The sequence below is a fragment of the Homo sapiens genome, chromosome 20 (genome assembly GCF_000001405.40).
Source record: "Homo sapiens chromosome 20, GRCh38.p14 Primary Assembly".
Classification (NCBI taxonomy): Eukaryota; Metazoa; Chordata; class Mammalia; order Primates; family Hominidae; genus Homo; species Homo sapiens.
In genome coordinates this window covers 14,853,202-14,868,438 of record NC_000020.11, presented here as the reverse complement: position 1 = coordinate 14,868,438, position 15,237 = coordinate 14,853,202, and the positions used below count along the sequence as shown (strand labels likewise).

Sequence of the window (15,237 nt, the reverse complement as noted above, 5' to 3'; positions counted from 1 at the left end):
ATCCCAGCACTTTGGGAGGCCAAGGTGAGAGAATCATTTGAGCTCCAGAGTTTGAGATTCTGTCTCCACAAAAAATAAGAAACATTAGCCAGGTGTGGTGGCACACACCTGCAGTCCCAGCTACTCAAAAGGCTGAGGCAGGAGGATCCCTTGAACCAAGGAGTTCAAGGCTGCAGTGAACCATGATTGCACCACTGTATTCCAGCCTGGGCAATAAAGAGAGAACTTGTCTCTTAAAAAAAAAAAGAAAGAAAGAAAAAAGAAAAAGATATGGGAGAGAGATGGAACCCTCTCAAGATGGTTGGGTTTGGGGGCCTAATAAAGTATAAGGTCAGTGATAATGTCCTTTTGGCAGAGAATGGCTAATATGTTTCTAGGAATAATGCTTTTATATTAAAATATAATGTGTTTCCTGTTTTATATTTGGATGACAGCAACAAATTCTTCACTCTATTGCCCTCTCCTTCACTGAACTTTGAGGAAAAATCAGTTGTGATTGAGGTATAAGCCTTAGGGGTGTCTTAAAGGCAGATGGTGCAAGATAGGGCAGAAAGTGACCATCGGTCATTAAAGATGAAACTGGGAGCAGGAATTTGGAGAAAGAGGTGACACCACAATATCAGACTTTTTAGACACCTTGGAAATGTCAAGTACAATCCAGGACCTCCCAAAGTGCACTGTGTGGAGGCTTAAGCCATTCCATTTGTCTAGAAAGGACAATGGTGGCCTCAGAATCCAAGGGGACTTGGAGACAACCAAAATACACCAATATATCCTAGAAATGTAATTACCGCTGGAAGTAACAAGAAATGAATATACAAAAGAAATCAACATGGCAGATGTAGATAGAAGGCTGGTCAAGGTTAAGGTGTGAAGTCACCTGTTAAACAGGAATCCATGTAGAATTCAAAATCCCATCGCTTATAGCAACTTTCCTGTGTCTAGGAATAATGTTTATTAGAATCCAGACTCTTTCATAGGCATGAAACTCACTTTCCAAGTGTACTAGAAAAAAAATTCAACTGAAACAACATTTACACTTCAAAGAGAATGTCACCTGGCATATTTGCAGTTCCTCAGCCAGAAACAAAAGCATCAATTTACAGGCCAATCCACACTGCCAGTATCAAGGTTCAAAATCTACAGTAAGTATGTTCTCATATGAATCGCACCCAAATAAAAAGTTTCTTCTCCCTCAAAGAAAATAATGCCACATACTTATTCCTACTATTTACAAAGCAGCTATCAAAATTATGCCTTCTTTCATCAGGTTTCTCCAGGAACTCAGTATTTACTTAGAAGTAGAATGGGGCTTTTTAGAAAAGCATCAAGTAGGGCCACCTAAACACGATCCTTGAGGAATGCACACAATGACAGAAGTCAGATTGCTCTCAGTTACGTAACATTGACAGCTTCCACATCACAGAGCTCTGAAATTACAGGCAGGGGGGAAAATTACTGTTAGACAAAGATAATATCGTTTGAAAGATGGTACTTTTATTCTTTAAAATCAAATAGCTTTGATTTAACCACTTTTCAGATTTATTCTTCTTGACAAGGTTGCATTAACACCTTAACCTAAAGCAAATGCATATTTATCCAACTTACATTCTATGTACAAAATTGCTTACTCCCCGGATAAACACTCAGGCATGCCTTCCTACCCACATTCAAAAACTAGAATTGTTACTCCTGCACGTGTATATCATTGAAAAGCAAACACTGAAAAGCTCACTCTTTACCTGCAAGCCTAAAATTAAAAAGCCCAATATGTAATAGTAGTGGGGATTGTATTGTTCCTGAAAGATACCTCTGCAGCATTGTAGATTAACTGTTGTTCTCCTGGACAATTTTATGCTCAGGCCAACTTAATAAATTTGAACATGTCATCTACTAAATTATGAATCACCAAGAAGACCTACTCACCCAGAAATTGCTCTGTTGTTTCCACTGCAACTTAAAAAAATCATCATCTATAGCATTGAGAAGGTTAAATTACCTAAATTTTAATTTCAGTGAGCAATGGAGTGTGTCTACCTGCTGGACCCTCTGCCAACTGACAGACAAAAGGCTGAAGGGAGTGCACTTTGGATGTGATCAATTAACTAAAGGTGGTTCATTAATCTTTAGTGTCAACACCTGAGTTTTGCTCTGATAGCTCCTACAGTATGCAGCTGGTTGCTGGTATTTCAAACCAAGACACATCCAGTTAAGTTCACCTTGTGGAAGGATAACTTAAGTTTTTCCTGGTTAATTTTGAGTCAAAAAATAGCTAATTGTATGCATAACTATGGAGAGACAGTTGCTATATTCACTTATTTGTTCATTCATTTATTCATTTCATATATAGTCATTTTGTGCCTATCATTTGCCAGGAATCCTACACAAAGATTAATCAAACTGCATTAAAGGGGAGTCAGACATTATGAAGCTATTTTTGGAACTTGACCTCTATACATACTCTAACAGAGGTGGAACTTTCAAAGAGAAAATTATGGCTGCCTTCCAGTTCCTTAGAAAATGAAAGTTGCAAGCACATCTTTTTGAGAACTTGCTACAAATCACTTAGTGTTTGAAGAAAAAGCAGTGCCATATAAATCAAGGCAGAACCTAGGCTTGCATTCTCATCACAGGATAATCTTTAATTAAATAGAACTGGCAAAAGAAGCTTTATTTCAGGTGAGCAATAAAGAAAGAGTTGAACTAAGAGCATATGACACACAGATGCAAATCCAAATCTGGTATATAATACATTTAAGGGTACATTTATTATTATCAATAGTAGTAGTAATTAAGTTTTAAAATAGTGATTATTAAAAGAGGATTTGAAACAAATATTGTGGAGACAATAAATTCTGAAAAGCCATCAATTCATGGAGCTGGTTGTTTGTTATTCCACTAGAATAACGAACTCCAGGAAACGTTTGGTATTTAAATGGAAATTTCATTAATCAGGGTTCAACCAGGAGAACACAAACCAATGAGTAACTTAAGGGAATTTAACACAGGGTGTTGGTTTATAGGTAATAGGAGAGAAAAAAAAAAGCCAAATAAGTAGCAGTGAGTCAACCTAGGGATTACCAAAGGCAGGAAACCACAAAGGGCACACAGAAGAGGTAGCATCACCAGAGCACAGGGACCAGGGTTACATGGAGTAAGCTGGAACCTTGGTAGGCTTCTCTGGCAGGAGATAGCATCATGGAGGCAGAGACGTTGCCAAGGCAGAAATTCCCTGGCTTCTCCTTTCTTCTGCCCTCTAATCTCCTGACAATGCCTACCATTGACCCAACTGTTAGCAGTCAGACATGGGAGGCTGGGAAATGCAGCCTGTGGGAGGTATGTTCCCCTGTGATACAGCATAGTAGGGGAAAGACAAGAATGGACACAAACCAAACAGGCCCAGGACCAGCACTGTAGTGATCAGCCACTTCTGCCTACGTATATATGAGCAATTTGTCAAGCTTGGAAGCTCCTATATTATGTGACTCTGGAGTCACCATGAAATTCAACATCAACTGAAAGCATCACTTAACTCCTATATACCCTAAGCCCTTGTGATTTAACATTCTCATAGGGAACTTATAAGACTTACATTGACACTGATAGCACAGGTCTAGAAACCTTCTTAACATACTACTGTTTTTTTTAAAGCAAACTGGGATTTTAGATCTAAACATCCATTAGCAGAAAAAGGTAACCTTCAGAGCCACTGCTTTCTCAGTTATCTTTAGAAGCACTAAAATTCCTCCAGCTGGCATATTCTCATGGAGCTGGCCTACAAGTGTTTATAAGTCTTTTTATTCTAAAGACAAGGTCCGTCGGTTCAACACTCACTATTTCTCTATAGGGAAAAGAAATTTGTTCGCACAGTATTAGTTATCTAACAACTATGTTTTTATAGAAAGCAAAATTTAATAGTAGATTTGCCTGGCTTCAGAAGATATTATTACCCTATATGTTCAAAATGAATAAAAACATTGAAATCTTAAAATTAAAGTTTTACAGTATAAAAAAATTTACTGATTTATAAATCCATATAAAGCTATCATAGGACTTGTAACTGCATGAAGTTACATGGAGAAATAGCCCTCTCCAAAGGGCACAACTGAAGGATACACAAACAGATATTATTTGGTAAAAGACAAAAGTCAGGTTGCTTTCTCTGGAGAAAGACAAAAGTCAGATTCTCTGGACAAAAATGTCTTTACTATAGGACTTCTCATAGCATTTTCATACCAATAATCATGTCTTAGGCAGCAAGAAAAGGACATGTTATTTAGTATTTATAAAACATATTTTAAAATGGAAACTTTTTAAATTTTGCAGGACACATAGAGAGTGTTCTCATCCACATTTTAGAAAATGGACACCTAAGGGAAAAGAAAGAAATTATCTATACTCAGGAAATAGCCTACATCATGTAGTATGGCCCCACTTCTCCTGACCATAAAAATCACCTAGCAACTTATTAAAAATACAGATTTGAGGGAAGAATATGGCAAACTTCATTGTAAGCCAATGCACTAGTCAAGTTTAACAATGGAGAAGTGAGTTTAGAGTTTGTAAGTGGGTTAACCAAGGTCTGAATCCTGGCTTGGCCGCTTTCTAGCTACATGATTTTGGACAAGTTTCTTAAACTCTTACAGCCTTTGTTTTTTCATCTATCGTATGAAGATAATAATAGTTCCTCTTTAATAGTATTGATGTGAGGATAAAATGGATGTAAAGCTCTTAGCAATAGTGGCTGACAAATGTTATTAATAGAATCTCTATGCATGATATTAATGTTATATATATTAAGCCAGATATGTCTTTTTTCTTCTTTACAATTTGGAAACTCACATTTATGTAACTATATTTTTCTGGAAATCTCTATCCACACCCAAAGACTTTCACTTCCTGTTCAATATGCTTTGATATTGTTACAGTTGGTCAAACTGTATTTGTGATACATGTTTTTAAGTTAAACTATTCAATTAGAAGCATTTGATATAAAATAGTCGTGTTCACAACACCTGTAAGAATCGTTCCTTTACTCCTCACCCCTGCCCTCCTTTACCCCTTGGAGCTTTACAGAGGCACTGGAAGTGGCCTGTATCAGTGTGATCGGGGAGAAAATCAGAAAGGACAAGAAATCTACAATGTGAAATGTGCCCATAGATATAAGCGCTGCCTGTGCAATGAGCCCACAGATATGTGCATTGGCAAAACTGCAAGTGCAGTTTATGAAAAGTTGCTGCCCTTCAGGGATCTCGTTTTTCTTCCTACAGTTGTCTAGTGAAATGAGAGGCTTAGGGTGAAAGAAACTGTGAAAGAACCCGTGGGTGATTTGCTTCTGCTTTACTGATCTCATTTGAAGCCAACCCTTGGAGAATGGCTAGTGAATACTAATAATACCTTATTAGAAACTATAGCGTGGCTTCATGCAAGGTGAACCTAAATGTGTAGTCACTGCCCATCTTCTGTGTGAAAGGAGGAAGCCGTGGCATCCACATCAGCATTTTTGTATTACTATTTAACTAAAAGTTTGGCTCCCATATAGGAATGTACAGCTCATTGTTCAAAATCCCTCACTACAGTAGGTATGCCAACTCAACTTCTGCTCTCTTCTCTGAAAATTCTGTGCCCATTAGGAAGGACTGGGTTTCCTGTTAGACAAAAGGCAAGGGCCAGCTTAGGTGGAACTCACTGCTTTGGTCTTCATCCTCTCTATTAAAAAAAAATATATATATATATATTTATATATATTTATATATATATTTATATATATTTATATATATATTTATATATATATATTTATATATATATTTATATATATATATTTATATATATTTATATTTATATATATATTTATACATATATATTTATATATATTTATATTTATATATATATTTTTATATATTTATATATATTTATATTTATATATATATTTATATATATTTATATATATATTTATATATATTTATATATATATATTTATATATATTTATATATATATTTATATATATTTATATATATATTTATATATATTTATATATATATATTTATATATATTTATATATATATTTATATATATTTATATATATATTTTTATATATTAATATATATTTTTATATATATATTTACATATATTTATATATATTTATATAAATATATATAAATATACATAGTAATATATTTATATATATTAATATATAAATATATATTTATATATATTTATATATATATATATTTATATATTTATGTATAAATATATATTTATATATATTTATATATATTTATATATTTATGTATAATATATATTTATATATATTATATATTTATATATTTATGTATAAATATATATTTATATATATTTATATATTTATATATATTTATATATATATAAATATATATATAAATATATATAAATATATATAAATATATATATATAAATATATATATAAATATATATATATATATTTATATATAAAACCTCCAATGTCCTATTTCACTTTGGAAGTGTGCATTCCACAGCCCCCACAAGTATTGCAGAGCATAATACCATAAGTATGTACATCCCAGTGGACCTTGGGGTCCTGCTTGGCCAGCAGCAGGAGAGCCACTGATATTAAGAAGGAACGTTGTCAAGAGGTGCCAGATGGGGTTAGCCCTTCGGGAGGTCATTCCACCTAAAAGTGCCCAGCTCAATGCCAAGATGGCATGAGTGAGTTACCTTAATGAGAAAGTGCCAGTCTGCCCTTCCTTCTAATTCCTGGGGTTGTGTGTGGGAGGGACAGAGGCTGTTTGTGGGGTTTATTGTGAGCTCTGTGCTGGTTATTCACCCATTTTCCCCACTACATAGACTACAGGAGGTTGATCCATGCAGAGTGCATTCCCCCAGCTCCCTCATAGTCTGGCTTCTAATTGGAGGCATCAGCAGGATATCAGAGAGTAGGAGAGGAAGGTCAGGGTATTTCTTTCCTGTTTGTTCCTAGCTTTGCCACTGTCTCTTAGTCAGTGACTGTGTCTTTCTATGACTGTGTCTTGATGACCACAAAAAAAAGTCATTACGTCAAAATCTCTAGGACGTGGAACCCAGCTGTTAGTATGTTTCCCTGATATTCCAATGAGTAGACAAGACTGAGAACAACATCTCTGCAGGATGCCCTTCCTCCGAGGCTCTAGAGCTCACTGGGCTCCATTAACATTATCTTCCCATTGCCCATTTAGGTAGGCCTAAGTGGGTAGTAACGGCTTCCACCAGTTGCTAGTCTTTGAGTGGCTCAACATCTTGTGTCAGTTCCCTCAATGCTGCCCACACTTTGTAACAATTCCTTTAATTAAATTCTCTTCATTGTAACCATGTGGGGTAAATTATTTTTCCTATTGTGATCCTTTGTTAGGCTCCTTTGTTATATAACAGAATAAAAACTGTGAACTGCTGAACTGATAAACATGAGATGAACACATAAATAAACAAAGCAATTTTTTTTTTTTAAAGTCTCCAGAATGGGGATGTAGTTAGAGATGGAGACCATCTAATTCAGTCCTTAGATGCCCAAAAGGAAAACCTGGGATAAGTATGTTTTCTAAAATAGCCACGTTGAATTTATTTTGGAGAGTGGAGTGAGATGCTGGCTGTGGCTTGCAGGTTAAGAGGGCTGTAAATTTCATTTGCTGGCACTAGTCACAGTGTTTGCTTAGGCTGTGTGGTCACAGCCTTGGAAGGGAGCATCTCAGCAGGGACCTCCACCTGGGTTTTGCTGCCCTCTTTTATGTGAAAGGATTGCTTACCTTCCCATTTTGTCCTGCTGCTTTCAGAGGACTTGCTGAAAAGCATCAAAGGGGCCAGTGAGAACTGGAGGGCATAAGCACAAGTTGCAATTAGGCAAACAGAGACCCGGAGGAGTCCCAGATCACAGAGAGCAGGTTCCAGCCGGGAGGGAGGTGCAGCGGTGTTTTCTGCCCACAGGCTTGAAAAGAGTTCTCACTCTCGCCATAAATTAGGCCCCTCCCTTCTTGCTAATCCTCCCACCCCCACCCAGCTTCACAAAGGGGAGGAGGAAAGTAGAATTATCACACAGATTGCTTTGCTTATCCAAAAAAAGCATTGATTCAATCTTTTGCATAAATTCTTTTCCTTAAATTTTTGTCCTGTTCCCCCTCAATATTGAAAGCATTTATGACACAGACCTTGCACTTGACAAGGATTTAAGGGATGTACTTTTCAATTTATTTGAGGCCATATTCAGAAATGAAATAGTAACCTGTACAATTCAGGAAGCAACCAGACAATATATTCCATTTTTTTGAAGGTTTTATCACATGGTCTCCCTCCTGCTATGAGATTTATTCAGGAACCTTATATAACTTTGATTTTTATTCTTAAAACAATCTGAAATTAATGGATATACTTATGTGTTCACTTATTTAACAGAGGGTCAATGTATGACCTTTAAGAATGTTGTCCTGGATTTGCCTCTGAGCTGCTAGGTGACACTGGACAAGTCATGTCTCCTTATCTAAAAAATCAGGATGCTGGACAGAGTGACCTCCAAAGACCCCTGTCCTGATTTAACATTCTACTGTCTTTTCTCCTATTTAGTACTTAAGGGAACTGAGAATGACAATTATTGCAAACCACAGACCATAGCAAAGATCTAACATGGGTCAGTCTCATAAATGATATTTACAGAGCTAACTAGTAAGTTGAAACTATGCATTGGAAAAATGGATAACATTTGCATTTCCAAAGTAGAATTATAAATGAAAGAAATGTTGGCTCTGAAAAAAAATCTCAATAGCAGAATAAAGTTGTCAATGGTTTAAAAAAGAAGAATCTCTCAGAAAATCACCATTCCAATGGTTTAATAGTTGCCTTAAAAGATAAATATCCAACAAATAGTATTGTGTTTATCTTTTGGAATATTGAATATGATGGGTACTCCAGAAGTCAGGTAAGGATGAGCACTAGCATGATCATAGTAACTCTTATAATAACAACGACTAGCATTTATGAAGCACACATGCACACAGGCACTGTTTTAAGCACTTTACATGAATTAAAGCATTTCTAAAGATGCAGCCCTTGCCTTTTTCTTAATTCCACACCAGCAATCATGATTATTATAATAATTAACACTTAAATAGAACACTTTCTATAATTAACATTTATAGAATGCTTTCTATTTGCTTGGCAGTGAACCCTATTTATTTATTTATTTAATTTCAATAGTTTTTGGGGTACAGGTGGTTTTGGTTACACGGATAGGTTCTTTAGTGGTAATTTCTGAGATTTTAGTGCACCACAGCCATCACCTAAGCAGGATATACTACACCTAATATGTAGTCTTTTACCGCTCACCCCCCTCCCAACCTTCCCCTTGAGTCCCCAGAGTCCATTATATCATTCTCATGCCTTTGCATCATCATAGTGAAGCCCTATTAGATGGCACTGCATGGAAGTATTAACCATTCGTGACTACTTAATCTCATAGGCTTTACCTGAATATTTCTTTAAATTAGTACTTCATGTTCTGCCTCTTTTCCCCTAAATCAAAACTTTCACTTTACTCATGTAATCCTTACAACAACCTTTGAGGTGAGTACTACTATTATCACCATTTTACAGACAGATGAACTAAGGCTCACACAGGTTTGAAAACATGTTTAAAGTCGCATTGCTACGAAGTGGAATAGTGGGATTTCTACCCAGTGCTGTGCGTAGAGTATGCTGCAATCTTTTTGCTTAGAAGAATACGATATCCTGTCCTTAATGCATTCACACGGGCAAGTGGATGCATCAGTGCACTAAAACGTATACTGACCCAAGTGCTTTGGGTAGGTAGAAGTCAAAATCTTATAGTCTGGATGTTAAAGGATAATTTATTTGATCTCCTACACCACCCTTAACTGTATCATTCCAAAATCATAAGGACTATCTGTTTTTGTTTTTGTTTTTCACAATCAAGTTTGTAATCTGGATCCAAATTGCATTTTTTCTTTTCTACCACAAAGTCACACAGTAAGTTTTGAGATTTTTGCATCAACTCAAAGAATCTCTTCTGAGTGGCTGTTCGGAGAAACAATAACCCGAGAAATTCTGGGGTCCAAGGGCTCAACAGGTCACTGCCGGCTTGTCTCATCCTGTTCAGAGTTCCACTCAGACTCCTGCATCGGGTTAACCACATTTTCCAGTTGCACCCTTGGGGCGTATTTATCACCTTGCTATAGGTGCCAAATCTCTAAGTAGCAGATAAGAGTGATAAAAATGTATCATGTGACTCTCTTTCTAACAAATATCCTACAAGTGGGACTATTATATAAAACATTCCTCGGCCAGGCACTGTGGCTCACGCCTGTAATCCCAGCACTTTGGAGGGCGGAGGCAGGCGGATCACCTGAGATCAGGAGTATGAGACCAGCCTGGCCAACATGGTGAAACCCAGTCTCTACTAAAAATACAAAAATTAGCCATGCGTGGTGGCAGGCGCCTGTAATCCCAGCTACTCGGGAGGCTGAGGCAGGAGAATCGCTTGAACCCGGGAGGCGGAGGTTGCAGAGAGCCGAGATCGCACCACTGTACTCCAGCCTGGGCGACAAGAGTGAGACTTTGTCTCAAACAAAACAAAACAAAACAAAACAAACAAAAAAAGCACAGTTCCCTATTGACTAAATAACTCCACAAAGGTATTAATTGTTCATTATTAATGTTTAATTTTATTGAACTTAATGTGAGAATTCCTTTAAATTAGTATTTAATTGTCTAATGGCTCCTTCTGTTTAAATCAAATCTTGCCACTTTCCGCATTAATTACCTATTCACTTCGTGGCTTTTAAGTCTGAATTTTGTAAATGAAGGCTGCTTATAACTTGTAGTGTCAACATCTGGACATGTGTGCTAAGGCAGGGCTCCCTTGTCACACTTCAGAACTTCAACTATAGAAATTTGCTTGATACATTATCTAAAAGAAACAGGGCTTGGGAGTTAATGGGCACAAATGTTAGGGTGTTTTAAAATGCAGCACATAAGGAAGCTAAAAAATATCTCCCAGCATACATGAGAACAATTCCAACAGCTCTAGAGTGTCTTCACCTTGTTCAGGTCTGTCAGATGATAAGGGGCCAGGCCCCTCAACGCCTGTGTGTGCAGGAAGTAGTTTACCAGATTTCATGAAGAGCAGGAGATATAAGTGGGAGCATTCTTGGTCAGGCAACTGCATGTGCAGAATTTGGATTCATAAATAAAACTAATCTGTGTGGAGGACAGTGAGATGATCAGCCTTGGAGAACAGAGAGAGAATAGGGATAACGGTTTATGGGATTGGGGAGCAGAGGAGATATTCCACTGGATGAATCTTGAGTGAGAAAATAACAAGATTTGGAGAATACCCTTTGGAAAGATAAACCTAGCTATGCTTTGTTTATGCTGGACTATATGGGTTAAGACTCTGAAATTTAATATTCTTATGTAATTAATTGGCTTTACAAGCAGTGGCACTCAGGCTGAGATACGCATGTGACATTATATATTGTGAAGACCAAAATGAGATGATGGAAATATGTGAAAGGACTGTATATTTGAGAGGTGGGGTCATTTACATATTATTATCCATACAATTGTGGTGATGATGGTGGCGGCAACCATCCCAAATCTAGTCTCTTCACTTCACTGTCTAGGACCTTGCTGCTCAAGGTGCAGTCCTCACACCAGCAGCATGGACACTACCTGGGATCTTGTTAGAACACAGTATCTTGGGCTTTGTCCAAAACCTGCTGAATCTGAATCTGTATTTTCACACCACCCCTGGGTTATTCATGTTCACATTAAAGGCTGAGAAGTACAGATCCAGAAATTAAATTTGGGAAAATAGCTTGTCAATCCAAATTGCCACTTAACAAGTGGATTGCCTTGTTATTCACACTTTCATTTTATGGTTGTAATAAAATAGAAAAACAAGAAACAGCCCAATTTTTATTGTGGACACAAATTCAATAGGGCGTGTTTGTGTATGCATAGTTCTAGCTAAATGCTCAGATAGCTTTTATAACTGGATTTCCCCATTTCTCCCTTTTTTTGAATGCTGGCTGTGTTTTATTAAACCTTTATCCAAGTCAAGTAATATAGGTATATCTTACAGCGTCTAGACTTTTTGCCAAATTTTACTAAGTCAAATCAGATCATTAATCTCTATTAAAGCATGTGAATATTTATTTTAATTAAATTCTATTTAACTGCCACCAGACAGCATTACTGGGGAAAAATACAAATAAAATTTGATCAAAGGCAACATGATTAGGTTGCTGAATTTGTGTACATAGAGGGGGCAGGAAGCATAAAAAAGAGAGAGGCTCAAGCATCTTTAATGAAACTAAGTATGTTTCATGTAATATAATGGATCTTGATAAATTTAACACAAAGCCATGTAAAGTGCAATGGGATCTTTATATCTCTTCTGAAATCTTTTAAATAACAAGCTGCATTTTATTTTAGGCTTAGAAATAACAACATTTTAAAATGTTAAGGGTTCTCTTTACAAGGTAATTGCTTAGAAATACGATATTTCTATTTAACTATATACTATCTGTTGAGATTACTTGTTATTTTAGATGCCTACAACTAATCTAGTCAGTGGACTATAAGACATACCATAAGAGATAACATCTTTAAAAATGTTTTCATGTTCTTATATGAGAATTTAGTCTCGTTTCATGCTATCAGGGGTAAATTAAAGCTTGTAAAAGATACAAAGATATTAACGTAATAGTCTTACAATAAGCCATTGTATGCCAGTCAAACCAAGAGATAAGAATTGAGCTGTGCCTTATTAAAAAAAAAAAAAAAAAAAAAAAAAAAAAACTTGGTAGGATCACTAAAATTCTGAATTCTTCCCCAATTGACTTATTGTATTAAGTATGAAAGGTTATGTTGTTTTGTTGGACTATTGAGTATAATACTGTTTGGACAGATTCAGTGGAAAATTATGATGCTGTCAGATCAGAGATAAATTTACCATGAAACAATGGAGCTTAAGCTTCAGGGACCTTCCCCCGCCAGGTCCCTTTTAAGGACTTGGATGGGGTCCTGGCAATGTGTTCATATGGTCATATTTTTTTAATTAGCAAATGTGAGAAATCTATGGTAACAAGCTAGTTAATGAAGACAGCCAGTTCCAAAGTATTTAAGATTAGTCCCTGCACCAGAAATTTTGAGATGCTGTAAAATCTTGCAGTTCATCGGGAAAGAAGCCTAAAGAAGTCTTCCCAAGTTTAACCACAATTCTAAAAATGTACACGTTATTATCAATCGAGAGTTATAAAATGGAGAAAAACCTTTCTCAACTATTAATACTTTTTGAAAATTCCATCACCTTACAGGAAAGACTGAATTTAAATAACCACTTTATACTTAATTTTATATTGTACATTTGTCTTTTTTTTTGAGACGGAGTCTCATTCTGTCGCCCAGGCTGGAGTGCAGTGGTGCGATCTCGGCTCACTGCAAGCTCCGTCTGCCGGGTTCACGCCATTCTCCTGCCTCAGCCTCCCGAGTAGCTGGGACTACAGGCGTCCACCACCACACCCGGCTAATTTTCTGTAATTTTAGTAGAGATGGGGTTTCACCGTGTTAGCCAGGATGGTCTCGATCTCCTGGCCTTGTGATCCACCCGCCTCGGCCTCCCAAAGTGCTAGGATTATAGGCGTGAGCCATCGTGCCCGGCCCATTTGTCTTTTTCTTAAAGAGAGCTCACCTTAGTGTTGTTTTAGTCCCCACGAAACCTGCATTCTTTCCTGCATTGGATACAGATGTTTACTTTTGAGTGACAAGCTTAAGGATTTTGTTTTTGTTTTTTAATGAACTTTGTAGTGTAAAATATAATCTATTTTATTTGCATTACATCAAGACATAGCATAAGCCCAAGTTGTGGCATAATTAAACATAAACTATCCTAGAATCAAAGTAGACAGCTCACCAAACCATGCTTAGTAGGACATTCCAGGCGTTAAGTCCAGGTCTATTAGTTACCAGTATTCTATGAGTCATTGATTAAGTATACTAATACAGTTATAGAAAAACTATTCTTACAAAGCTATATAATTAACAAGGCTCCCAGATCCCATTTTTTATAAAGCAAATTCAAGAACAAGCATTCAGTAGTCACTAATTATTGCACTTCTCACCGCAGTTTCTAATTTTTCTAACGATGGAACAGGCTGTTCTTTTTATGTAAAGGGGAATCCTACTTATCTGACCACAGCTTTCTCCTGGTGAAGATGGATGTGCTAGAAAGCTATCGACATTCTCTGATTGGTGCCTCCCTGAACTCACGGACAAAAATCAGGGTAATGATGAGGTAGAAAGTGTCCTGGGGTCATGGAGCAGGTTAAAACTAAATGGCCTGCAGAAATACTAAGCCCCTAATGCTGACCTAATTGCCCCAGGATTCCAGCCAAATGAACAAACTGCCCACCTGCCTTAACAGACACAAAATACACCCAAATCTAACTAAAATACACTTGGAGTAAGTAGGGTCCATGTAACTATAGTTATGTTTAATGGTTCCTCTTACATTTCCTTATTACTCATTAAATTCTTGTTACTTTTCCCACTTCCAGCACCAAAACAAAACAAAACAAAACAAAACAAAAAAGTTTGTGTATATTTCTCCTTATAGATGTCAAATAAAATCTTATAAGCAAATACTTGGCCACCACCACAGTGCTTCCAGGAACTCACTTCTCAGAAGCTCTTCTCATGTAAGCCATCATAACTCTATCGATGCAGCATACTCATTTCTTAAGGCATTTAATAATGAAAAGAGGAGAAAAAAAGAAAAGTATTGCTGGAAAACTGAAACCGAAAGGTGACCTAAGAATGGGTTGTGACAGCAAATAATTACTGGCTGTCTCTATTTCTCTTTATTGCCTTTCTTCATTTTTTTTCTCCCTACTTTGACTTTATACAGCTTTGTCTTCTACCTCCAGACTCCACCCTATTTTTAAAACATCTATGAACATCTTAATTTAGACAGGAAGACGGGCCATGAAAGCATTTCCAGTCAACCAGAAAAAACCCAGGAAGCACCTATGCAACCTAACTCTTCCGCACCCCTTTTGTTAGTGAATTCAGTCACTAACAAAAGCAAGTGTCACCTGCCCTCTCCAAACCCACTTCCTCTGGCCTAATTAAGGTCAAGGTTTCTTATCTAGACTGTTGCTTTATATGTCACAAACTTGCTTCTCTATCCCCATTTA

The 15,237-nt window shown here is 36.6% G+C and overlaps 1 protein-coding gene across 3 annotated transcripts in view, besides 1 other annotated feature; it reads right to left on the bottom strand.

Moving 5' to 3' along the window:
• Window positions 1-15,237, bottom strand: part of MACROD2 (mono-ADP ribosylhydrolase 2) — a 2,057,682-nt gene that overhangs the window by 1,184,759 nt on the left and 857,686 nt on the right. The window lies entirely within an intron of this gene.
• Window positions 7,497-8,116: an enhancer, noted in NCBI's record as "OCT4-NANOG hESC enhancer chr20:14840969-14841588 (GRCh37/hg19 assembly coordinates)". NCBI's record gives its function as "activates a minimal SCP1, AML or CMV promoter by ChIP-STARR-seq in naive H9 embryonic stem cells {active_cell/tissue: H9 hESC(naive)}" and the evidence as "EXISTENCE:reporter gene assay evidence [ECO:0000049][PMID:30033119]".